The following is a 25,780-nucleotide window of genomic DNA, read 5'->3' on the forward strand; positions in this document are numbered from 1 at the left end:
CAATGTGATGTCTCTGACATTAATGTAATAGCATGACTACTAGGGTGAATACTTGGAAATGTAACAGCAAGCACAGATAAGCCCACATTTCTATTATGTGTGAGCTTCAGTGTCACTGTTGTGTGTAGCAGGGGGTGGTAGGATGGAGCTGGGGAAGAGGAAAAGTGTCATTGCACAGCTTCCAGTTAACTGAGTGGGGACAGGCCAGACATCATCATCCCATCCCCTGTGTTTCATGTGCTTTCCCATCCTCTTACTTTCCTCTCTATTCCATGTGCTTTCTTATCTTCTTAATCTCCCTTCTAATGCAACATCAGAGAAGGGTGTGGACTCTGCATCTCAGAACCAGGAGCTGATAGAGAAGAACCAAGTTTGTTGTGGAGTCTGCTAGACAGGTTACTGGAGCAAGAGTGAAAAGATCAGGGTCTCATCACTGGGACACTTTAGGTGAGTCACTACCCTTCCACCAGCCTCGCCCATATGGCAGGATAACAATTCCCAATCCTCCAGACTACCTGGAATACTCTGGAGTTTAAGTGTGATCCCATGTGAAAAAGCCATCAGTGGTCAGGTGGAATGGAAGAGCCAGTAAACTTTCAAGTAATTACATTTACAGAGACACTTCAGATGTTCCAGAACTCTGCATGGAGGCATTAATTATACTTAAATATGAACTGTTTAGGTCTAGAATTTTTCCAAGTGTGCTCCATGGACCACTTTATCAAATTCATCAAGGGTTGCTTGTTAAAATTGCAGATACTTGGGCCCATCCTAGATCTACAGAATCAAAACCAGGGAGGTGGGGTGAGAAGTGTCTACGTTTTCAGTAATTTTTTTTTTTTTTTTTTTTTTTTGAGACGGAGTCTCGCTCTGTCACCCAGGCTGGAGTGCAATGGCGCGATCTCGGCTCACTGCATGCTCTGCCTCCCGGGTTCATGCCATTCTCCTGCCTCAGCCTCCCGAGTAGCTGGGACTACAGGCGCCCACCACCACACCCGGCTATTTTTTGTATTTTTAGTAGAGACGGGGTTTCACTGTGTTAGCCAGGATGGTCTCGATCTCCTGACCTCATGATCCGCCTGCCTTAGCCCCCCAAAGTGCTGGGATTACAGGCGTGAGCCACCGTGCCCGGCCCATTTTGAGTAATTTCTTTAGTTGTTTCTGGTATTCATCAGTGTTTGAAAAGCACTGCTGTGGATTGGCAACAAGGCCCATGAAAATTTGAATCCTTTGATGTCTAATTTCATTGTTAGTTGCTCATGCTACTCAGTTTTAAATATCCGTGTGATCTCTGGTGTGTCCAATATGTAACAATTCCTTCAATTCAGTAATACTCAATGATTTATGTGTGAAGCTCTGGTCTAGGCACCGGGGAAACATCACAGAAAACAAGACAGGCAGGGGTTCCCAGGAGCTATCATTCTAGTCTGGAAAAACTGACAATAAGCAGGTAAATAAATCAGCAAGCATGTGATTTCATATGAGGATATGCTCTTTGAAGAAAATAAGCATAACTAAATAAAGTAGAGAAGGATCAACATAAGGATTATTATAGATGGGGTTGTCGGTGTACTCTTTCTCAGGAAGTGATACTTGACCTGAGTCTTGAATGATAGGAAGAAGCCAGGCATGGAGAGGCCGTTTTGTCAGTGTCCCTATGTTGTGTGTGGACACCATTGATCCAGGAACAGAGGACAAGCTAGAGTGGCTGGAGCCTAGCAGACAGTGTGCAATCTGGTGGGAGATGAAGTTGAAGGGTAGACAGGAGCCACATGGTTTGGGCCCTGTAAGGAGTTTGGATAATTGTATTGTGAGTGTCAAGATTAGAGTATGGGAGTGACATGGTCTGATTCTTGTTGTCAGAAGGTGACTCTGGCTGCTTTGTGGAGAATGGACTGGAAAGGGACAAGGTATGGAGGGAGGATAACCATTGGGAGAATATTGTAGAAGTCCAGGGAAGAGGTGGAGGTAGATGGGATCAGGGCTGCAGCTGTGTGCAGAGGTGGGGGTGGGGTGGGTGGACCTCAACAGAGGGTATTTGGAGGTAGGGCAGGTAGGACTTGCAGTACCTGTGCAGGTAGGGTGTGGGGGATAAGGCAGAGTGGAGGAGGACCCCAGGTCTTTTTGTTCAGCCAGATGGAGAAATGATGGTGCTGTTTTCTGAGATCAATCCTTCCAAGTGCTTTTGAGATAGTCTCAAGTTAATTAGTTAGGTCATCCAGATGTGGGTTAGTCGTGAAAGTTAGTAATTTAAAAAATGTATCAGTTGATAATTAAGATTCAATTGTAAGACTATAATGCTTTATTTAAGTAACATGAAAACTATTAAACTTTTAAAACTTGAAAAATCTCAATATGCAAATTCACATTTAATGAGCAGTTACTGTGTTCCTACTACTGGTCTAAGAGTTTGCATGTATTAACTCAAGTAATTCTCAAAGCAACAACTCATGAGGTAGGGACAGTTGCTTGCCCCAGTTTACAGAAAAACGAAATTGAAGTACAGAGTGGTTCTTTCACTCTCCCAACGTCACAGAGAGCCAGGTATCCCAATTTCTCTGTAGTATAATTTTTTAAATAATCGAATTCTTGGCTGTTTATCCTTGTAAAACCAAAACACAAAGCAGTATTCGTTTAAAAAATGATTTGTCTTCTTTGGTAAGTATTGCATAATCCCAGTCTACTGATGAGGCATTTGAGTGACTGTAAGGTGAAGCAAAAGTATTCGAAGTCACATAGGTTACAGAAAGTAGGGCTTGTCCCTAGTCCGTCTCCAGATCCCACACTCCTAACCAGTACAATTATGGAGAAGAAAAAGCCATGTCAGCCCATGGTGGTTCATGTATGTCTTTGGTTGGAAAGTATCTTTCAGTAGCTTTTGTGCCATGTACCAAGATGATATCTATTTAAGAAAATGTAAAAAGGTAATAACTGTAAAACCAAAAGAAATTATTTCAAAAATACATTAATCATCATAATATGCATTAGACAACTTGGCTATTCAAATAATTCCTTGGAATTCAAAGATGAATTATCTTCCTTTTTAGGAATTCGTAGTGCTTTTCCAGGTGGAAGTCACTTTGTCCAGTGTTTTAAGTTTCTTTGGTTTGGAGACAGGCCTGATCAGACCACCATTGATTGGTGACGCAGATAAGGTGTGGTAATTTACTCAAGGTCACCTAGAGTTTATGGATTAGGGCTGGCACTGGGCACAGGTACATCTCCTGTCTCACACAGTTATCTGTTCTCAGACCTGGCATTAGCATTTTTCTTATGTATAGTGAATCACTTTTCAAGGGTTCAGAGGATACATGCTTCTCTGAGGTTAACTTGCAGGTAATATAGGAAGACATAGAATACCTTCAAATAAATGGAAATGGGATAATGATTTTCCTTTCCTTTCCCAAAATCCATTGGGACATTAGAAGAAAAATGCCTGGAATCATACAGCATACAGTCTTTTGTGTCTGGCTTCTTTCAATCAGCATAATGTCTGTGTGATTTCCATTATTGTTGTCTATAGTTGTAGATTGTTCATTCTCATTGATGGATGGCATTGCATTGTTCGGATATTTCACAATATATGTATCCCTTTTGGAGATACATATTTTTCAGTGTTTGACTTATGAATAATGGTGTTATGAATGATCTTATACATATGTTTGGATAGACATTTATTTTCATTTCTCTTGGGCATGTGCCAAGGACTGACATTTCTGAGTCACAGGGTATATGTATGTTCAGCTCAGTGGATACTGCCCATTTTTCAAAGTGGTTTTTCCAATCTGTATCCCCATCAACAGTGTGTAAGAGTTCCACTGCTCCACATCCTTGCCAGCACTTAGTGTTTTCCATCTTTTTTGTTTTTTTCTTTTGGTGGGTGTGTAGCAGTATCTCATTGTGGTTTTAATATCAGTTTCTCCTTAATTTAGTTCTCTCTGAAGTTTTAAGTCTCTTTTAGTCAAAGAAGGTCTGTACTCTTTTTAAAAACCTTATTTATTTGCTTAAGAAATTGGATTGTTATCCTGTGGAGTTTGCATTCTGGATATTGCTGATTGTGTCCTTATTTTGTTGTTTATTAAGTTCATCTGGCCACTCTTATGTCCTTTAAATTGGTAATTAGATTTAGATGCTTGTTCAGATTCAAGTTTTTTGGCTTGAATATCTCAGGTGAGGTGGTGTTTATTCTTACAATGTTATACTAGGAGGCTCATTGGATCTGGTTGTCTCTCCTGTGATGTTGAAATTAATCACTGGGTTCAGGTGTTGTCAGCCTGATCTATTCTTTATAAAATTTCCCTATTCACCTTTACTTCATGTTTTTTTGCAGTCTCTGAATATTCTTACCTGTATCTGCATTTCATTAAATGTTACAAAAAGGGTGACATTGTAATTCTGATTTCTTCTGCCTTCACCAGCTGGAATTCATGTATAAAGAAAACTTCCTCTGACCTATTAGATTATACTGAGATATGGTATACACAGGGAAGGTAGGATGAATGTTTAGTTCTTTTGCAGTATTTCCACTTTTCAAAACAGTGACTTGTTTCCTTAGGAGTTTCCAAAGGTAAGCAGTGAGCTTGTTCTGTTTGTGTTTCGTTTTTTGGATTCAGTCTGAGTACTTTTGGTTGCTCATTGCTACTGGGTTGGTCATTGTTTTTTGTCCTCTCCAGTGTGTTTAACCAGGAAAATGTGTATCCTTTGTAAGAGATAAATGTCATCTGCTTTTATCCTGGGCTGCTTCTCTGTCTTATGGTAGGTAATCATTTTATTAGTTTTTGTTATTACCCTCGTTCTAAAAAATATAAGCAAATACAATATGTATATTATTTATTATATTACCTCCTCAGTAAAAATTTATCCAGAACTGAAAATGTTCTGTATCTAAACTGTATAACACAGTAGCCACTAGCTAGCTGTGGTTATTGAGCATGTGAAACGTGATGAGTGAGACTGAGAAACTGAGTTTGTAATTTAATTTAAGTTGCCACGTGTCAGTAGTGGCTACTGTATTGGACACTGCTGCTCTATACTTTTTTTCTTCTTCTTCTTCTTCTTGCTTTTTATTTCACAATGTGCCGTGGACATTAGTCATAGCAGTATAGAGAGGGAGTCCTCCTTGCTTTTTATACTTGCATAGTACTCTAGGGTGTAGTTGTACCTTAGATTATTTAGTTGGCCCTATACTGGGCATCTGTCATATTACTACTATTCTGTTAGGAATTTTCTACCATAAATGGCCTTGTGTATATGCCTTTTATCTTTTTTGCAGTGTTTCTTTGGGATGGATTTTTAGAAGAGGGATTGCTGTTTCCAAGAGTAAATACCAATGTATTTTTATAGATAGCATCAACCCCCCCCCAACAGGGATTGTACCATTTAACATTACTTCTAGCAATGTATGAGAATTCCTATTTCCCCACAGAGTAAGAGGAATGCTGAGGGGAGGAGAACATCATGTGAGAAGTTCATGAAAGCCATCTCACTAAATCAGGAGAATTAGATATTTGGATAGGAGTCCTACTCCTGTGCTTGTCTTTGACAATTCAGTCTCTACTCTTTTCAGTCTTTTGTGGATCTGGGTCCACATCCCTCAAATGGGAGAGGCAGTCTTGCATAAAGCAGAAACTCCATGTCAGCTAGAAGACCAAATGGGAGGGACTTCTCTCCTAGGGAAAAGACAAGCACAAAACCAGAAATCCACAACTCTGATATAGTGAAGGGCTAAAAGAGAAAGTAAGCATGTAGTCCCTTACTCATGAGGAGAACCAAGGATGAAACCAACACAAGGGTGACCTTATCCTTACTCTCTATCTGCGAACTGAATAGAAAGCTGCAAGAGTTTGTGTGTGTATAATTGTTGTGAAGAAGACTGAGATACAAACAACATGCAGATACCCACACTGAAACATACAAACACACTGTCAAATAAATAGTTTTGACCTACTTGTCTTACGCATAAAACAGTATAATGTGAACATGTTTCCAAAGCAATGAATATAAGAGCATCATATTTGTAATTTCACAACTTTTTGTTTTCCACATTTTGTACAATAAGGTTTCTAAATTTAAAACACTAGAGAATTGCACATTTATAAAATAAAAGAATCCTGTCTCCCTACAATGTGCACACACTGATTTATGAAATAGAATTTTTTAATGTACTATTTTCACACAGCAGCATATGAACATGATTCTTAATAAATGCATTTCTACACTATAATTTTGTGACTAGGGTCACAGAGTTTTCTGATTTACAGAACAGAATCTCAATAACTTTATCACATTATCAGTTAATTATTTTCATTGTTTAAGCTTTATCAAATATAATCGAAATGTATATTACATATTAAAAATATTTTCTATCTGTCACACCTTCTCCTTCTCCATAATACAAAGATAGTTTCTCTTAATTTATTGGTATGTACTCTTCGGATGTTTTTCTCTGCATGTAGTATACTAACTTACTTTTATTGACACACACACCTCTAAATCCATGTTAATCTATCTATATAAATTATTTTACATAAATCCATGCACTACATTATAATTTATGACTTAACTGGTTGACTAAATATGATTCTGTTTCATATTTTTTGTTTTGGTGTATTCCCAAGTGTTGGAATTTATATCATTTTTCTGAGATTTATATATTGTCTCTTGATATGATTGGCTTACTTCTCTTGTTCATGAATATTTCATATTTGGAGGATATAAAGCATGATTGAATATGGGTTAGAAATAATTTCTCCCAAATTTTTATATTTCTTTTTATTTTCTATTTTGGCTATACAGATACAATTCTATACTTTATAATTTTTTACTATTTAAAAAGCACTTCAGCACATTGTTTTCGAAAGAACAACTCAACAATAATAATGCTTTAAGGCTGGGTGCAGTGGCTCACACCTGTAATCCCAGCACTTTGGGGGGCCGACATGGGCAGATCACTTGAGGTCAGGAGTTTGAGACTAGCCTGGCCAACATCAGGAAACCCCATCTCTATTAAAAATACAAAAAATTATCTGGGCTTGGTGATGCACACCTGTAGTCCCAGCTACTCAGGAGGCTGAGGCAGGAGAATCGCTTGAACCTGGGAGGAAGAGGCTGCAATAAGCCAAGATCATGCCACTGCACTCCAGCCTGGGTGACAGAGCAAGACTCCATCTCAAAAAAAAAAAAAAAAAAATATATATATATATATATATATGCTTGAAGTTATATCAAATGTTAGCTGACAGGACAGAAGGGAAAAAATGTTTTGAATAATTCTAGGTTTAGAATCCTGGAACAATAGTTTATAAGGTAGTTTCCCTAGATCAAGTTACCAGTCTTTTAATTTGTGTTCCCTGATCCAACTAATGGGCATAATTATTGGTACTGGATAGAATTGTTGAAATCAAAATGAGATGAAATATAAAATACCCTTTATATAGTAGTTGTGTACCTGTTAATAGACTACCATCCAGGTTCCCTTTCCAAAGGGCCACAGCTTGGTCTAGTTCAACATCTCAGAGATCAGCCAGTCCATGTACATACAGAAGATACTTTATCTTCCATTTAGTAGTGTAACTTGCTTATTTAACTGTAGTGGGTAGAATTGTGTCCCCCTCAAAACATGTCCCAATCCTAACCCACACAAACTTTATTTGGAAATAGGTTCTATGTAGACATAATGAAGTGAAAGATCTCCAGAAGGGAATATCCTGAATGTAGGTTGATGCCTAACTCCAATGACTGGTATCTATATAAAAGAAAGCAGAGGGAGATTTGACACATCCAGGGAAGAAGGCCATGTGAATATTGAGGCAGAGATTGAGTTATGCCACCTCAAATCAAATAAAGCAGGAGCCACAAGAAGCTGGAAGAGCTAAGAAAGGATTCTCCCCTAAAGGCTTTGGAGGCAGTGCAGTCCTGCCTACACCTTGATTTTGTACTTCAGGCTTTGGTTTTGTACATCGGAATCATGGCATAATAAATTGCTGTTGTTTAAATATGCAAAGTTTATGATAATTTGTTATGGTGGCCCTAGGAAACTATTACATGTACAAACATCATACCCCAAATGTCATTGATTATGAATAAACATTGGTCAATACCCTAATTTTTTTTCATGGCTACAGGGATACGAATGCCAGTAAGACATGTGAAAAGTATTTAAAAGTGCCAACATTTCGTAGGTACTATATGCTTTTAATGTATTGGATCATTCAGTGCCCAGAACACACTTATGAGTTAAATACTATTGCAGAATTCAATTTTACAAATGGAAAACTGAGGGACAGAGAGGATAATGACTTTGCCTAAGACTGAACAGTTAAGGAGTGGGACAGCTTGGACTTATGTCCAGTGCATCATGCTCTAGAGCCTGGGAAACTGTGAAAGCTCTGTTGTTAGGTGAAAGAAGCAGTCTGCAAGCATACATACTTTAGGAGCTCATTAAAAGTAATATGCCCTATGTTAGTGTATTTATACAAAACCTGGACCTAGTAAGAAATGGGTGGATTATGACTTTGGAGAGAATGTTCATGGCAATCCCAGAGACAGAAGCCATAGGGCAGTGGGATGATGAGTGGGAAGTGAAAAATGTTAACAGAGCATGTAGAAAACTCTTTTTGGTACTTCGAATATGAAGGAGAAGAAGGATAAGGGAGGGAGAGACAGAGACAGGGAGAACTGTATCCTGTAGCTGAATGGGTGATAAGGGGGTCCAAGGAGAGATTTTTTTTTTAAATCTTCAATTTCTTGAAACTTGACCAAGTTAAAAGCTAATGTGAAAAAAAAGCTATCTCAGAATTAACCCTTGAAGTTGACCACATGTTTATTTCCCTTATGCTTTTATATCACATTGGAGCTCATGAGATACCTCTGATGGAATAGAATGGGTTTGAGCTCAATAGGTATTTAGTTATTACCTAATGAAAGAATAGACATTGTGTGTGAAGAAATGCTAGTAACTCTTGGATTTTTGTCTCTCAGGGAGGCAGCAGATGGCTGAAATTCTGATCCGATGTGGCTGGTTAATGCATGATCTGAAAACCCCTGCACTGGTGATTTTGGGACAGATCTAGAATATACCAATAAATATATTAACATACCAAGTAGTCTAGGAGCAGCCACTGGGCGAACACCAAACCTTGCATCCCTGCTGCTGTCTCTGAGCTCAGCAGGTAAGTTCAAAGACATGCCTGTCTTCCCAGTGTGGGGAACTAAATTTGGGTCATCTCAGAAGCATGATGTTGGGCAGCTCTTACGAGCTTCTGATAACACCCACGAAGCAGAGAAACTACTGTCTACAAAACTTTGAACTCAAGGCATGTCACAGGGACATTTGCTTTCTTCAAATAGATGTCTGTGTTCTCATAAGGGGGAGCAATGAGAAATGATTTTTCACAATGCCTGCCTTAGCACTGAGGCTCAGCCAGCCCCTAGTGCTGTGTCCCATTTAAAGGCCATTTAAGTCCCACCCCATGCCATATACTCTCAAGAGGTTTCCTCATATACCCATCAGACAGCTATGTAAGGATGGTATGGTCAGTCCCATTTCACAGATGACTAACCTCAGGCTCACAGAGCCTAAGTCACCTCTTCAGGTAAGTGGCAGGGTTTGAATGAAATTCCATCCCTCACCCTCCCTAGAGTACCCTGAGCAGCCTCCCTTTTAGAAGATGGGTTTCTGGGCTTGAGAAATGGTGAGATTTCACCCACCTGCTATTGTAACCCCATGAGTCTTTACTCAACAACTTTTCTGGGTGAAGATGACAGAGGTGAGATCCCATTCTTTGTGCCAAGAGACCTGTGTGTAGGGACACATGAGTTGGCTGATGCCTGAAGTGGTGAGTGGGCTCAGGCAGAAACTCAAGTGTTGTACTTGAGACAGGTGAGCATATATATGTGTGTGTATATATATATGAGTTTATTAAGTATTAACTTACACAGTCACAGGGTCCCACAATAGGCTGTCTGCAAGCTGAGGAACAAGGAGAGTCAGTCCGAGTCCCAAAACTGAAGAACTTTGAGTCCAATGTTTGAGGGCAGGAAGCATCCAGCACGGGAGAAAGATGTAGGCTGGGAGGCTAGGCCCGTCTCTCTTTTTCACATTTTTCTGCCTGCTTTATATTTGCTGGAAGCTGATTAGATTGTGCCCACCAGATTAAGGGTGGATCTGCCTTTCCCAGCCCACTGACTCAAATGTTAATCTCTTTTGGCAACACCCACACAGACACAACCGGGATTAATACTTTGTATCCTTCAATCCAATCAAGTTTACACTCAGTGTTAACCATCGCAACTCCTTTAGGCAAATGCACTCTGTATTTCATCTTCTTTAATGTCAACAGCTATTCAAGTTACCCACAAGAATACCCACTGAATTATGACCATTATTCAGATCAGGGTACTTTAGGCAAGTTTCTGTACATCAGGGAAATACCTTTGTTGTGTCTCGATTAGCAGGTAATTCTGAATTATTCTAAAGTTTTCTCCAGTTTGTCTCTGTGCCTCCTGGTCTCGGGAATGATCTAATCTCCTTGGGCACTGCCATTACATGTTCCAAGGCAGTTTAACATTTTTTTAAAAATTGTGATCCATGTGGTTTTAAGTCAGAAGATAATTTAAATTGAAAAATTCTAAATTAAAAAAAACTAAGAATAGCGTAAAAACTCTGGAAAAATCCGTACAAACTAGAGCTGAGATACTGGATTAGAATTCATGCTTTGTGAAGCACACTAACAAAGAGCTTGGCAAATAATTTCAGTGGAGAAGTCAAATAGTTAGATACATGAACAATAAACACATTAACTATGCCAAAACCACAAAAACTAATAAGATGTAAATATAAATCCTGAGAAGAAAAGTGGAAAAAATAGGTTGCAAAAGAAGATAAGGATGTGATTCGACCTTTGGAACAGACTGTGTGTGTGTAGGTGAACATATTTGTGTGCATCTCACTTGTGGAGACACATTTCACAGTATGCACCATTCTGTGGACAGCAGACAACTAGGGGTCAGGGATTAGGAGCTGCTCCAGTGAGAGATACAGGTTAATTTCAATTCATATATGTGTTTTTATATATTGTTTTACATTTTATATTCAGGAAAAAGTATTTTGATGAAATATTAAAAACAATATGCTGTGAACATATTGACAAGAGTATGGTACACATATATTCCTTACTTCAGGCATTCATTTATTCAATTTCCTGGGGAAATAAAGTAGATTTTTAAAAAATGAATTGACTCACACGCAAGTGTGTGTGTGTGTGTGTTCTAGCTCCTCTAGCTCTACCACCTCAAATACAGTTCACAATTGCAGCATTATCCCCAGTTCAGACTGATGCTGTACTTCCAATATCAGATTTAGATATCCCCGAAAACGTACTTTTTTATAACCCAGAAAAATGATGGATACAGAGGGATTCCTGTAGGTACGTAAAAAATTCCAGAAAACTGGCTGATCACATTAATCAACCTCCCAACCTCCATCCCTCCCTTTCCCCTGCTGAACTCACCAGTCAGCTCTCAGAGTTGCAATCCTGGCTCTGGCCACTAGGAGACATCGCAGCCATCTTCACATTTGTTCTTTTTTAAGGAAAAGGAGTACATCTAACAAACAGTAACAGATGTTATAACATGGTTTGTTCACTGAAATACCAGTTGTTTGGAGTATTCGCGTGTATATTAAAGCAGTTCCATTTGCTGTCGTCCCCAAATCTACATCGCATTCATTGATTCATCTCTTCCCTTCTCTGTTGGTAGAGGTTTCCACATTGTAGGAGGGTCCCTTCCAGAGAGCAGGGCGTTCGTTCACTCTCCATTACCCCACCCCTGTATAGGCTTCCTGGTCCTTCTACCACTGCCTCCCACTCATCCCCTCTCCAGGGGCACAGCTGCCCAGACCTGCCCCTTGTGCCGTCATCCTCTCTCAGTCACCTCTCACCTGCCCTGATGCTCACTTAAGATTCTGTCTTCCAGCAACAGCCAAGGAGTGTTAGACCTACCTGGTGTTTCATCCTATGGATGCCCCACAGTATATGTATTTGCAGTCTTCTTTTACACTTACCAGTTTTTTTTTCCTTTGACAGAATTAGAATGAATCATTCTGCACTTAGGCTTATAAGCTGTGGTTTAAGAGAAGTATTTTTTGCTCCTTGCAGACACGTCTTTGCAGAAGAGTTCTATAATGGTGGTACAATGGTGCCCCCTCGTGACAGAAGCTTGAACTACAGCTTGAACATCGGTGAGCAGGAAGGTGGGAGGGAGGGGCTCTGGCCCATGCACACCCTATAGAGCGTTCTGAAACTCTGGGTTGAAAAGGAGACATTCCAGGTTAAAGGGATATAGAAGGCCAATAGATATTCCAGCCTCTTTATATGCTGAATAGAGAGCTGTATGTGAGAATAACAGAAAAATCATTTTAATTTCTGTAGAGATGAAAATATACTGTCTACGTTGTTCAACACAATAGCTAATGGCAACTGTGGCAGTTGAACACCCGAAACGTGATGAATGTGACTGAGGAACTGAACTTTTAGTTTCATGTAAGTTTAATCAACTTAAATTTAAATGGCTATATGTGGACAATGCCTACTATATTGGACAGCAGTGGCTCAACACATTTTTCTGTACCTTTCTTTCTTCACTTAACAATTTATGCTGGAAATCATTACAAAGGAGTAGAAGGGGGAATTCTCATTGCTTATTTTACCTCCATAGAACTCTGGGATGTAGATGTACCTTAGATTATTCAATCAATTCCTTATTGGTGGACATCTGTCTCATTTCTAGTCTTGTCCTGTTACAAATTGTTCTACCATGAATTGCCTTGTGTTTATGCCTTTTGTCTTTTTAAATTTTATCTTTGGGGGTACATTCTTAGAAGAGAGATTGCTGGCCCCGGAAGAAAATATCTGTGCTGCATAAAATAAAAGATTTGAAACGAGAGGATCTGGAAACATGGCGACAAGCAGTGAATGTTGGTTCTATCTCATTATTCTTTTGATTCCATGTACTTTCTGGTCTCCTATTTTCATTCTAGTGTGACATGATGAATGAATTTATTGAGCCCCAGGAAGAAGGAAAATTAAAGAAGAGCAAAGAATAATAGCTGGACAGAAGATGGGGGTCATTGAACCTATATCCTAGTTGCCAGACCAGTAAACTGACCATGGGACCTGGGGTGAGTCCTGTTCTTTTTTTGGCCTCTAGTCTACCACAGAAGGACATTTAATATAGGAACAGTGGTTAGCTGTGTGGGCTTTGGGGTGAGAAGGACTTGGATTTGAGTCTGGGAACTATTCACTTGATGGTTGCATAATCTGGAGCAAATAATTTATTATGTATCCTATAATTGTTGGCATTTTTATTATTGTTTATTTTATTTTATTATTATTACACCATTCATCCAAAGGGTGAATGATAGGAGTCAGGATTACACTGTCGGGTATTGCAATGTTCCGTGAAACTTTGCTTTTATAACTGATGGAGTCTGACATACAGATTAAAGGATGTCTATAGAAAGCTCATGAACAGACCCATATATATATTACATTTAATATGCAATATAGATATGGCATTTCCAATCAGATGCATTGTTTGAAAATTGGGGTTGGGTCAGCTGGTTCATTAAAAGGTAAAGTTAGATTATATATCTTGTAATTTAATCAGAATGACTCATCCACATATTACTACCTTGTATAAAAGTTCAGATAAAAGTAGAAATGAGAATAAAAACCCAGAATACCAAGCTCCATATATAGTATAACAGTTATATAAAATGTAATGTATGTATATCCATTACATTTGCTTATATACATGTATAAAAAAACAATTAAAATAGCATGATGTAAATTTCAGTAAGGATAGGAATACTGATGATAAAAGAAAAACTTCAGCCAAATTAAATTTAAAGGACTTTGAGCAATGAACAATTCATGAATTGGGCAGCCCCCAGAATCACAGCAGATTCACAGAGACTCTAGCACAGCCATATGGTGGAAAAAGATTTATAGACCAAAAAAGGGAAATGATGTACAGAAATTGGAAGTGAGGTACAGAATGGCTGGATTGATTATAGCTTGGCATTTGCCTTATTTAAACCCAGTTTGAACACTCAGCAGTACACAAATGGTTGAAGTATGGCCTCTGGGATTGGCCAAGACTTAGCTATTGTTACAGGCACATACTCCTAAGTTATGTTTTCAATTTTGTCTATTAAGCTAGGTTACAGTTCATCCACAAGGACTCAAATATAGAAGTACGAAGTCCTTCTCAGGTCACATTTAGTTTGCTTTAACACTGGATATTAATATTTTTTAATTTCTGCACTTGACTCAATATTAAACTTTTGCAAAGACAAGTGTGGAATACATTTATGATAAAAATGTAACTCCTAAAATATGTTACTTAAGAAATATTTCCGAAAAAATCATAGCCATAAAATTAACCCAGGTTAATATTATACCTACTTTAGTTTTTCTCTAACCCCAGGTCCCATAGGCTCCCATCTGGCAGTGGGTTTATGCCTTCCTCCTGAAGTCACATTCTTAACCAGAACACTCTTTTCATGGGGTTGCACTCTCTCCACCCTTTCATTTGTTTTCTCTCTGCACTTAGCCTGGGCAACAGAGCAAGACCCTGTAAAAAGAAAGAAAGAGAGGAAGGGAGGGAGGGAGGGAGAGAGAGAAAGGGAGGGAGGGCGGGCGGGCTTTGCTGTCTCTTCTTTGTAGCACAGGTAACCTGATCATGCAGTGGAGGAGAAGGAAAATCATCCCCTCATTACATTTTGTTTGATGTCCTTTCTTGCTACCTTCTTTTACCTTCCATTTGGACATTGGAATAGCAGCCTTTCATTAAGCTCTGGAAAGGAGATAGCACCGAATGACAGAGCATGAAGATGAGTCTGCTATAAAACAGACTGAAACCAGAAGTCCTGGGTCCCAAGTACTAGATCTGTCCTTGTATACGCAGTGGTTAGGGATGTGGGCTTTGGAGTCAGATAGATCAGGTAGAAAATGTGTGTACATTTAATAGCTGCTTTCATGATCTTTAGCAAATATTGAGTCTTCAAATTAATGAAACCCATATTTAGTATACATACATTAAATATGCGTGCATAGAGAATGAAATGAGCATTAATACAAAAATAATTCTACGTTTAAAATTAACTAGTGATGGGGTTATTGATTAATTATATATCTGGACTTGATTATATTTCCCTGAATTTCTTAATTGGTATGGATCTTTTTAAAATCAGAATTAAGTCTCAGAGAAATAGTGGTTGTTATGAAATATTAAAGTAACACAAAAAATTATAGAATACAACAGACTTCTACATATTCATGTCAACATATAAAACTTTCATAGGTGAGTCAAACACACTTTAAAGTCTTCTCTTATTACCTCAGCTGCCTTCTTTCCCACAGGTGACCATGATGCAGAATTTAGGTTTTACGTTTTCAAGACATTTTTCTATACTTTTATTACATATGCATATACCTGTAAGTGAAATATGGTATTGTTTTCTGACATGGTTTCATCTCTAAATACCTGGCTACCTCATGAAATAGGAGAAAGGAAGAAACATGAGGAGAACAAACACACATTCGCATCTTAATAGAGGGACCTACCATATATGCCTATTTGTCATTTATACTCTCTTTCAGACTCACTGAAGCAGACACACCCATTTTCTCAGTTTATATGCTGTGGGGAGCTCCAACAAAATCTGCAGATACCATTTTCCAAGCGTCTTTATTCCCTGATGAATTCAAAATCTTAGAGTTTCCCTGAAGCTAACTATCCTAAAATAATATCTCAGTGTATCCTGACATGAAATACCTTCCATTTGTCCAGACCTAATTTTCTATCTTTCATCCAAACTGTAATTCATGTAGGCTTACCCTGTCTATCTAGAATCTAAACTGGGTCATGCTGGTGAAAGAAGACAGTGATTCCCTGAGTTGATTTTCATATGTCCAGGCTACTACCCAAATCCATTGATTAGTTCAGGGATGCATGTCATTTAGAGCTTGATCTGATTTTGTATCACAATTGCTCAGCATGAGTATATTTTGCTTTCCATTTGTTATTTTTGATTGCACAAGGAAGGTATTTCAAAAGAGTTTTAATTTGTATGTGTTAATTGATGATCCTGGGGACAGAATCCATAGTGTAATGGGATAAAGAGTCAGTGAAAAGTGGAGAGTATTAACAAGGAATGTGTAAAACTCTTTGTGGAACTTTGAATTTGAAGAAGAGAGAATCCAGTGGGGGAGGACACATACACATACACACATACATATACACACATACACACACACACATACACACAGAGAGAGAGAGAGAGGGAGAGAGAGCGCTGGAGGGAGAGCGCCAGAGAGAGAGAGGGAGAGAGGGAGAGGAGTGGTATCTCTATCATGTGGTTGAATAGGTGATGAGAGGTCCAAGGAGGGATTTTTGAAAATCATCAATTTTTTGAAACCTGATCAAGTTTAAAAATTAATGAGAAGAACCATCTCATCTCAGATTTAAGCAATGAAGTCACCCATATATTAATTTCCTTTCTTGCCCAGTTAATTCGACTTTAGAGTTCATGAGGTACCTCCAATGGAATAGCATGAATTCTGGGCTCTGTAAATATTTAGTTGTTAGCTAATTAAAAACTGGATAATTGTGTGTTGTATTAGTCTGTTCTCATGCTGCTAATAAAGACATAACTGAGACTAGGTAATTTATAAAGGAAAGAGGTTTAATTGACTTACAGTTCCACATGGCTGGGGAGGCCCCACAATCATAGCAGAAGGCAAAAACACATCTTACATGGTGGCAGGCAAGAGAGCTTGTGCAGGGAAACTCCCATTTATAAAACTATCAGATCTTGTGAGACTTATTCACTACTATGAGAACAGTATGGTGTAAACTGCCCTCATGATTCAATTATCTCCACCTCGCCCTGTGCTTGACATGTGGTGATTATTACAATTCAAGGTGAGATTTGGGTGGGGACACAGCCAAACTCTATCGTGTGTCAAAGACTTGCTAGTAACTATTGGATTTTTGTCTCTAAGGGAGGCAGCAGATGACCGAAAACCTGGAGTGATGTGGCTGAATACCGCATGATCTGAAGACTGCACTGGTGGCTGCGGTATGGGTCCAAATTTTTCCTTAACAAAAACAAAAAAAGAGCCCAAAACCATACTGACTAGTCCAGGAATAGCCATTAGGCAAACAACTTTTTGCTACCCTGGTGTTACCGATTTCTGAACTCAACAGGTGAATTCAAAGATATGCCTGTCTTTCCAGCATGGGGAGCTGGATTTGGGTCAGCTCAGGCGCATGATGTTGAACAGCTCTTATGAGCTTCTGATAGTGCCCAGGAAGTACAGAAACAACTGTCTACAAATCTTTGAACTCAAGGCATATCACAGGGACATTTGCTTTCTTCAACTAGATATCTGTTTTCTCATAAAGAGAAACAATGAGAAATGGTTTTTCACAATGCCTCGTTAGCCCTGAGGCTCAGCCATCCCCTAGTGCTGTGTCCCAACATTTAAAGGCCGTTGAAGTCCCACTCTATGCCATATACTCTGTACAGGTTTTCTCATTTACCCCTCAGGACAGCACTGTAAGGATGGTGTGGTCAGTCCCATTTCATAGATGACCAAACTCAGGCTTTCAGAGCCTAAGTCACTTCTCCAGATAGGTGGTAGGATTGAAATGAGGTTCCATCCCTCATCATCCATAGACAGCCCTGAGTAGCCTCCCTTTTAGAAGATGGGCTTCCAGGGCTTGAGAAATGGTCAGATTCCACCCCCCTGCTATTGTGGACCAATGCGTCCTCACTCCACAACCCCTCTGGGTGATGAAGAAGATAGAGAAGATTAAATCCCACCATTTATGCCAAGAGACCTGGGTGTAGGGCCACATGAGTTGGTTGCTTCTCGAAGTGGTGAGTGGGCTCAGGCAGAAGCTCAAGTGTTGGCCTTGGGACAGGTGAGCTGGAGAGAAGGAAAGTAACATACACTAAACTACTGTAAGAAAATGCACTTTATATTTCATCTCCTTTAATCTTAACTGCTATTCAAGGTACCTATCACTTTGACAATTATTCAAATCAGGGTACTTTAGGAAAGTTTATGTAAAGCAGGGAATAAACTCTTTTCTCTCCAGTTCAGCAGCTAACTCTAGAATTACTTTTAAGTATTTTTAAGTATTTTTCCATTTTTTTCTTGATATCTCCAGGACTCTCAATGCTTGAATTTTTCTCAAGGCCGACAGTACACACGCCCTAAGGTGTTCTTCACTAGTATTTCTTTTTAAATTACAATCTATATATATCTTATTCATATTATTGAAGTTGAAAACACATTCTAAATGAAAATAACACTAAGAATGTCTGTAAAATAACGGGGAAACATTTTCAAACTACATCTCAGATGTTGGATTAGTATCCATAATTTATAGGGCAAACTCAGTAACAAAACAGTTGGCAACTAATTTTGACATAGAATTCCAATAGATATAGACATGAACAAGGAACTTGTTGATTATGCTAAAACTATAAGAACTAATAAGATGCTAATATAAATCCTCAGAAGAATATTAAGTGGAAAAGACAGCTTGCAAAAGGAGATGATTAATGTGGTTGCACTTTTTGGCAAAGATTACGTGCATATGTAGGTGAACATGGTCATGTGCACCTCATCCACAGAAACATGTCTGGAAAGTGTGCACCATTCTATGGACAACAGACCTTTTGGGTCAGGAGGTAGGAGTTGAGCTACTGAGAGGTGAAGATTAATTACAATTCATATATGTGCTTTTGTATATTGTCTGAAATTTGGTATTCAGGAATAAAAATATTTTGATGAATATTTAGACACAACATAACATACATTTGCACAGATTGACAAAAGTAATGTGTATTATGTTCATTAATTTGAAATAGCTATTACTGTATTCTATTTAATGGTGAAGGAAGTAGTTAAGTAGAAGGACACAAAACAAGTCTCAACAAATTTAAAAAATCAAAATCATATCAAGTATGTTCTCAGACAAAAATGTAATAAAAGTAGAAATCAATAACAAGAGGAACCTGGGAAACTGTACAAATATGTGGAAAATAAACAAACAGCATGCTCCAGAATGACCACTGAGTCAAGAAAAAAAATATGGAGGATATCAAAAAGTTATTTGAAACAAATGAAAATGGAAACACAACATACCAAAATCTATGGGATACAGCAAAAGCAGTGCTTAGAGAAAAATTTGTAGCAATAGATGCCTACATCAAAAAAGTAAAAAGATTCCAAATAACCAATCTAACTGTTCACCTCAAGGAACTAAAAAAGGAAAAACCAAATCCCAAATGAGTAGAAGGAAGGAAACAGTAAAGGTCAGAGCCAAACTAAACAAAATAGAAACTAAAAATATACAAAATTTTAATGAAACAAAAAGTTAGATTTCTGAAAAGATAAAAAATTGATAAACCATCAGCTAGACTAACCAAGAAAAAAAAGAGAGAAGACACAAATAAACAACATCAGAAATGAAAAAGGAGACACTACAACTGATAACATGGAAATACAAATAATCATCAGAGACTATTATAAACAATTATATACCACCAAATTGGAAAGCCTAGAGGAAATAGATAAATTCCTGGACGTATACCACCTACCAAGATTGAATCAGGAAGAAATAGAAAACCTGAACAGACCAATAGTAAGTAATGAGATTGAATCAGTAATAAAAATTTTCCAACAGAGAAAAGCCCAGACCTGGATGGTTTCTCTGATGAATTCTACCAAACCTTCAAAGGAGAACTAACAAAAGTTATATTCAAACTACTGAAAAAAAATTGAAGAGGAGAGAATTCTCCCTAACTCATTTTATGAGGGCAGCATTATTATGATATTAAAAACCAGACAAGGACTCAACAACAACAAAAAACTACAGGCCAATAACCCTGATGAAAATAGATGCAAAAGTTCTCAACAAAATACTAGCAACCTGAATCCAACAGCACATCAAAAAGATAATATGCCGTGATCAAGTGGGATTTATACCAGGGATGCAAAGATGGTTCAACATATGCAAATCAACAAACATAATACATTACATCAACAGAATGAAGGACAAAAACCATATGATTATCTCAACCAATCCATAAAAAGCATTTGATAAAATTCATCATCCCTTCATGATAAAAACTCTCAAGAAACTAGGCATCAAAAGAACGTAACTCAAAATAATAAAAACCATATATGATAAACTCAGGGCTAACATCATAATGAATGGGGAAAAGCTGAAACCATTTCATCTAAGAACTGGAACAAGACAAGGGTCTTGTTTTTTCACCTTCATCACTACTATTCAACATAGTACTGGAAGACCTAGCCAGAGCAATCAGACAAGAGAAATAACAGATATCCAAGTTGGATATCTTTACATTTGTTCCTCTTTGCAAATGATATAATTTTATATCTAGAAAAACCTAATGACTCCATCAAAACCCTCCCAAATTTGATAAATACAATATAGTTTTAGGATAGAACATCAATATACAAAAATCAGTAGTGTTTGTATGCACCAATGACGAAATAGCTGATGATGAAATAGTGGAGAAAGAAATTAAAAAGGCATGCCTACTTGAAATAGCTACCAAAAAAAAAACCTAGGAATAAATTTAACCAAGTAGGTGAAAGACCTCTACAAGGAAAACTACACAACACTGATGAAAGAAATTGAAGAGGACACAAGCAAATGGAAAGATATCCTATGCTCATGGCCTGGAAGAATTAATATAGTTAAAATGACCATACTGTCAAAGGTAATCTGCAGATTCAATGCAATCCTTATCAAAGTACCAATGACATTTTTTGCAGAAATAGAAAAAACAATCCTAAAATTGATATGCAACCACAAAGGAACCCGGATAACCAAACCAATCCAGACCAAAAAGAACAAAGCTGGAGGCATCACACTACTTGACTTCAAAATATATTACAAGGCTATGGTAATCAAAACAGCATGGTATTGGTATGAAAACAGACACAAAGACCAATGGAACAGAATAGAGAACGCAGAAATAAATCCACATGTTTACAGACAAAACTGATTTTCAACAAAGGCACCAAGAACGTACGTTGGAGAAAGGACATCCTCCTCAATAAATGGTATTGGGAAAATTGGATATGCATATGCAGAAGAATGAAACTGCATCTCTGTCTCTCATCATATACAGACATCAACTCAAGATCAATTAAAGACTTAAATGTAAGATCTGAAACTATAAAAGTACTAGACAAAAACCTGGGGGAAACACTTTAGTACATTGGTCTAGGCAAATATTTTATGGCTAAGACCTTAAAAGCACAGACAACAAAACCGAAAATAGACAAATGACCAATATGTGTGTCCACCACAGAGTCCAGGGCCTTTCCTCTGCAACACCTTGTCAGCGTCAGTACTTTCTTCATTCCTCTGTAGCCTTTCTCACCTCCCTATACTTGGGGAGTCTAAATGGCACTACTTTATGAGTGTCTGTAGAGCAATACTTATCAAGGCCTACATAGGCACACACGCTTTGTGCTAGCATTTCCTTTTATATGTTTATCTTCAGGACTTAGTGAAGAATGTTGATTAAAATCTGGTTACAAGTACTGCCATCCTGATATTTCCCTTTTTTCACTTTTGGGCTTGAATTTAGAAAGGGAGACGAAATGAGATGCAAAGACACAAGCCAGAAGGAAGTAAAGGGAAATGTGGTTGTCAGCACACACATACACTCACACTCTCTCTCTCACACACACACACTCACTCCTACATCAACCAGGTTCTGTTATCACAATACTACAATTCTCTCAACATAGTTGTTGGGCTCCAAGGGGACCCATTCAGCTCACCAGAGCAAATAGCCATGGGAACTCTGCCCTGGATTACAACCACTACCAGTGCACAGACTCTGAAAAGATGCTATCCATGTCGTGTAGATAATAGGGAATATTGGAACACTCTGAATAATATGGGGTTGTGAAAATTGATTATGTCACATCCACAGTATGAAATTTCAGAAGAGAGCAAAAATGAGTTATATTGAAACAATGATGAGAGATGATTTTTTTTGCCTATCAGATTAGTAAAGATTCACATTATTTCTAATATGAGCAGAAAGGAACTTTCACACTGGAATATTAGTAGTATAATGCTTTTATTAAAAGTATTTTGATTTCAGATAAATGCATGGGGGCAAGATGGCAGATAGGAGGCAGGACCAGCTTGCAGCTCCTGCTGAGATGGACAGAGCAGCATGTGGAGACTCGTACTGTAAACCTTTGCTCCAAGAAGTACTGCAGGAACATACCAGGAAAGCTGAGAGAATCCACAGACCCTTTGAAGAAACTGGATCACTGTTGCAGGCCCCCTGAGATGCCGAAAAACTGTGAGTCTGCTTGCTTTGTCAGTGGGGAAGCTGGTGGTCTGGGACAAGTTCTCAGCCCTGGTCACTGGTTGCCCTGAAATAGACTCGGTGCTGTTGTAGGGCACAGTGGGAATGACACCAGCCTTTAGGGCTGCAGGCTGCATGGGAGCAGGGTGAGGCCCATGACCGCTGACTTTCCCCCACTTGCTGGCAAACTGTATGGTTCAGCAGAAGCAGCCATAATCCCCCTGGGAATATAACTCCATTGGACCAGACACCACACCCCCATCCCCCACAGCAGTCACAGCAAGCCACACCCAAGGAGAGGCTGAGCTCAGCCATGCCTATCCCTGCCCCTACCGGGTGGTCTTTCTCTACACACCCTGGTAGACAAAGACCAAGGTCATAATCTCTTGGGAGTTCTATGGCCCTGCCCACCGCCTGAGAAATCTGAATACTTAACCAGCTGTCCCTAGGGAAAGTTGGCATCCTCTCTGCAGGACCACAACTGATGCACTCTTGAAATCACCACCTCCTAGCTGGAGGCCAACCAACACAAAACTAGCACACTAAACCAAAATACAACCAAGGACCCTTACAGAGTCCACTTCACTCCCCTGCTACCTCCACTGGCTGCAAAACCTGAAGATGGATCACATCACAGGACTCTTTGCAGACACTCCCCAGTACCAGCCCGGAGCCCAGTAGCTCCACTGGGTGGCTAGACCCAGAAGAGCAAAAACAATCATGACACTTTGGCCCTCAGGAAGCCGCATTTATAGGGGAAGGGGGAGAACACCACATCAAGGGAGCACCCCATGGGACAAAAGAATCTGAACAGCAGCTCTTGAATTCCAGATCTTCCCTCTGACATAGTCTACCCAAATGAGAAAGAGCGAGAAAAAAATTTCTGCTAATACGACAAAACAAGTTTCTTTAACACCCCCGAAACATTGCACTAGCTCACCAGCAATGGATCCAAACTAAGATGAAATCTTGGAATAGCCAGAAAAAGAATTCAGAAGGTTGATTATTAAGCTAATAAAAGAGGCAGCAGAGAAAGATGAAGTCCAACTTAAATAAATCAAAAACGTGATGCAGGATATGAAAGGAAAATTATTCAGTGAAACAGCATAAATTAAAAAAAAAACAATTACAATTTCGAGAAATCGGGGAACATATAGAGAAATGCAAAACGCACTGGAAAGTCTCAGCAATCAATCGAACAAGCAGAAGAAAGAACTTCAGAGCTCAAAGACAGGCTTTCAAATTAACCCAATCCATCAAAGACAAAGAAAAAAGAATTTTAGGCTGGGTGTGGTGGCTCACGCCTGTAATCCCAGCACTTTGGGAGGCCGAGGCAGGTGGATCACGAGGTCAGGAGATCGAGACCATCCTGGCAAACACGGTGAAACCCTGTCTCTACTAAAAATACAAAAAAAAAAAAAATTAGCCGTCATAGTGGCAGGTGCCTGTAGTCCCAGCTACTCAGGAGGCTGAGGCAGGAGAATGGCGTGAACCCGGGAGGTGGAGCTTGCAGTGAGCCAAGATCGCGCTACTGCACTCTAGCCTGGGCGACAGAGCAAAACTCCGTCTCAAAAAAAAAAAAAAAAAAAAAGAATTGTAAAAAAAATGACTAAAGCATCCAAGAAGTTTGAGACTATGTTAAATGTCGAAACCTAAGAATAATTAGTGTTCCTAAGGAAGAAGAGAAATCTAAAAGTTTGGAAAACGTATTTGAGGGAATAATCAAAGAAAACTTCCCTGGCCTTGCTAGAGATCTGGAGAAATACAAGAAGTTCAAAGAACACCTGGGAAATTCATTGCAAAAAAGATCATTGCCTAGGCACATAGTCATCAAGTTATCTAAAGTCAAGACAAAGGAAAGAATCCTAAGAGCTATGAGGCAAAAGCATCAGGTAATCTATAAAGGAAAACCTATCAGATTAACAGCAGATTTTTCAGCAGAAACCCTACAAGCTAGAATGAATTTGGGTCCTATTTTTAGCCTCCTTAAGCAAAACAATTATCAGCCACGAATTTTGTATCCAGAGAGAAACTAAGCTTCATAAATGAAGGAAAGATACAGTCTTTCCCAGACAAACAAATGCTGAGAGAATTCACTACTACTAAGCCAGCAGTACAAGAACTGCTAAAAAGAGCTCTAAATATTAAAATAAATCCTTAAAATATACCAAAATAGAATCTCCCTAAAGCATAAATCTCACAGGACCTATATGACAATAACACAGTCCAAAATATATGTATGTATGTATATATATATGCAGGCAACAAATAGCACAATGAATAAAATAGTACTTCATCTCAGTACTAACATTGAATGTAAATAGCCTAAATGCTCCACTTAAAAGATACAGAATGGCAGAATGGATAAGAATTCACCAACCTAGTTTCTGCTGTCTTCAGGAGATTCACGTAACACATAAGGACTCACATAAACTTAAGGTAAAGGGATAGAAAAATATATTCCATGCAAATGGACACCAAAAGTGAGCAAGAGTAGCTATTCTCACATCAGACAAAACAAACTTTAAGGCAACAGCAGTTAAAAAAGACAGAGGGACATTATATAATGATAAAAGGACTAGTCCAACAGGAAAATATCACAATTCTGAATATATATGCACCTAACACTGGACCTTTTGATTTATAAAACAGTTACTACTAGACCTAAGAAATGAAATAAACGGCAACACAATAAAAGTGGGAGACTTTAATACTTCACTGACAGCACTAGACAGGTCATCAAGACAGAAAGTCAACAAAGAAACAATGTACTTAAACTATACCTTATAACAAATGGACTTAACAGATATTTACAGAACAGTCTACCCAACAACTACAGAATATATATTCTATTCATCAGTACATGGAACATTCTCCGAGATAGACCACATGAAAGGCCACAAAACAAGTCTCAGTAAATTTAAGAAAATCGAAATTATATCGAGTACTCTCTCAGACCACAATGGAATAAAATTGGAAATCAACTCCAAAAGGAACCTTAAAAACCATGCAAATACATGGAAATTAAATAACTTGCTCCTGAGTGATCGTTGTGTCAACAATGAAATCAAGATGGAAATTTAAAAATTCTTTGAATTGAAAGATAATAGTGACACAACCTATCAAAACCTCTGAGATACAGCAAAAGCAGTGCTAACAGGATAGTTCATAGCATTGAATGCCTACATCAAAAAGTCTGAAAGAGCACAAATAGACAATCTAAGATCATACCTCATGGAACTAGAGAAACAAGAACAATCTAAACCCAAACCCAGGAGAAGAAAAGAAATAACGAAGATCAGAGCAGAACTAAATGAAATTGAAACAAACAAA

At 38.5% G+C, this 25,780-nt stretch overlaps 1 protein-coding gene and 1 long non-coding RNA gene across 4 annotated transcripts in view; both read left to right on the plus strand.

Moving 5' to 3' along the window:
• The window catches only part of ARMCX5-GPRASP2 (ARMCX5-GPRASP2 readthrough), a 308,717-nt gene extending 289,247 nt beyond the window's left edge, over window positions 1-19,470 (plus strand). The window contains exons 15-19 of the transcript NR_146584.3: window positions 8,980-9,170; window positions 12,156-12,238; window positions 12,429-12,539; window positions 13,037-13,177; window positions 17,067-19,470. The gene's annotated coding sequence lies outside the window, so the exon portion shown is untranslated. The remainder of the gene's footprint in view (window positions 1-8,979; window positions 9,171-12,155; window positions 12,239-12,428; window positions 12,540-13,036; window positions 13,178-17,066) is intronic.
• The window catches only part of LINC00630 (long intergenic non-protein coding RNA 630), a 195,371-nt gene that overhangs the window by 119,442 nt on the left and 50,149 nt on the right, over window positions 1-25,780 (plus strand). For 2 of the 3 annotated variants that reach the window (NR_146593.1, NR_146591.1), the window contains 5 exons: window positions 8,980-9,170; window positions 12,156-12,238; window positions 12,429-12,539; window positions 13,037-13,177; window positions 17,067-19,516. This is a non-coding gene — a long non-coding RNA (long intergenic non-protein coding RNA 630). Of the gene's footprint in view, window positions 1-8,979; window positions 9,171-12,155; window positions 12,239-12,428; window positions 12,540-13,036; window positions 13,178-17,066; window positions 19,517-25,780 lie in introns of those variants that run through there. The other variant, NR_146589.1, reaches the window with a different exon arrangement.

Source organism: Homo sapiens, chromosome X (assembly GCF_000001405.40).
Source record: "Homo sapiens chromosome X, GRCh38.p14 Primary Assembly".
In the NCBI taxonomy this organism is placed as follows: domain Eukaryota; kingdom Metazoa; phylum Chordata; class Mammalia; order Primates; family Hominidae; genus Homo; species Homo sapiens.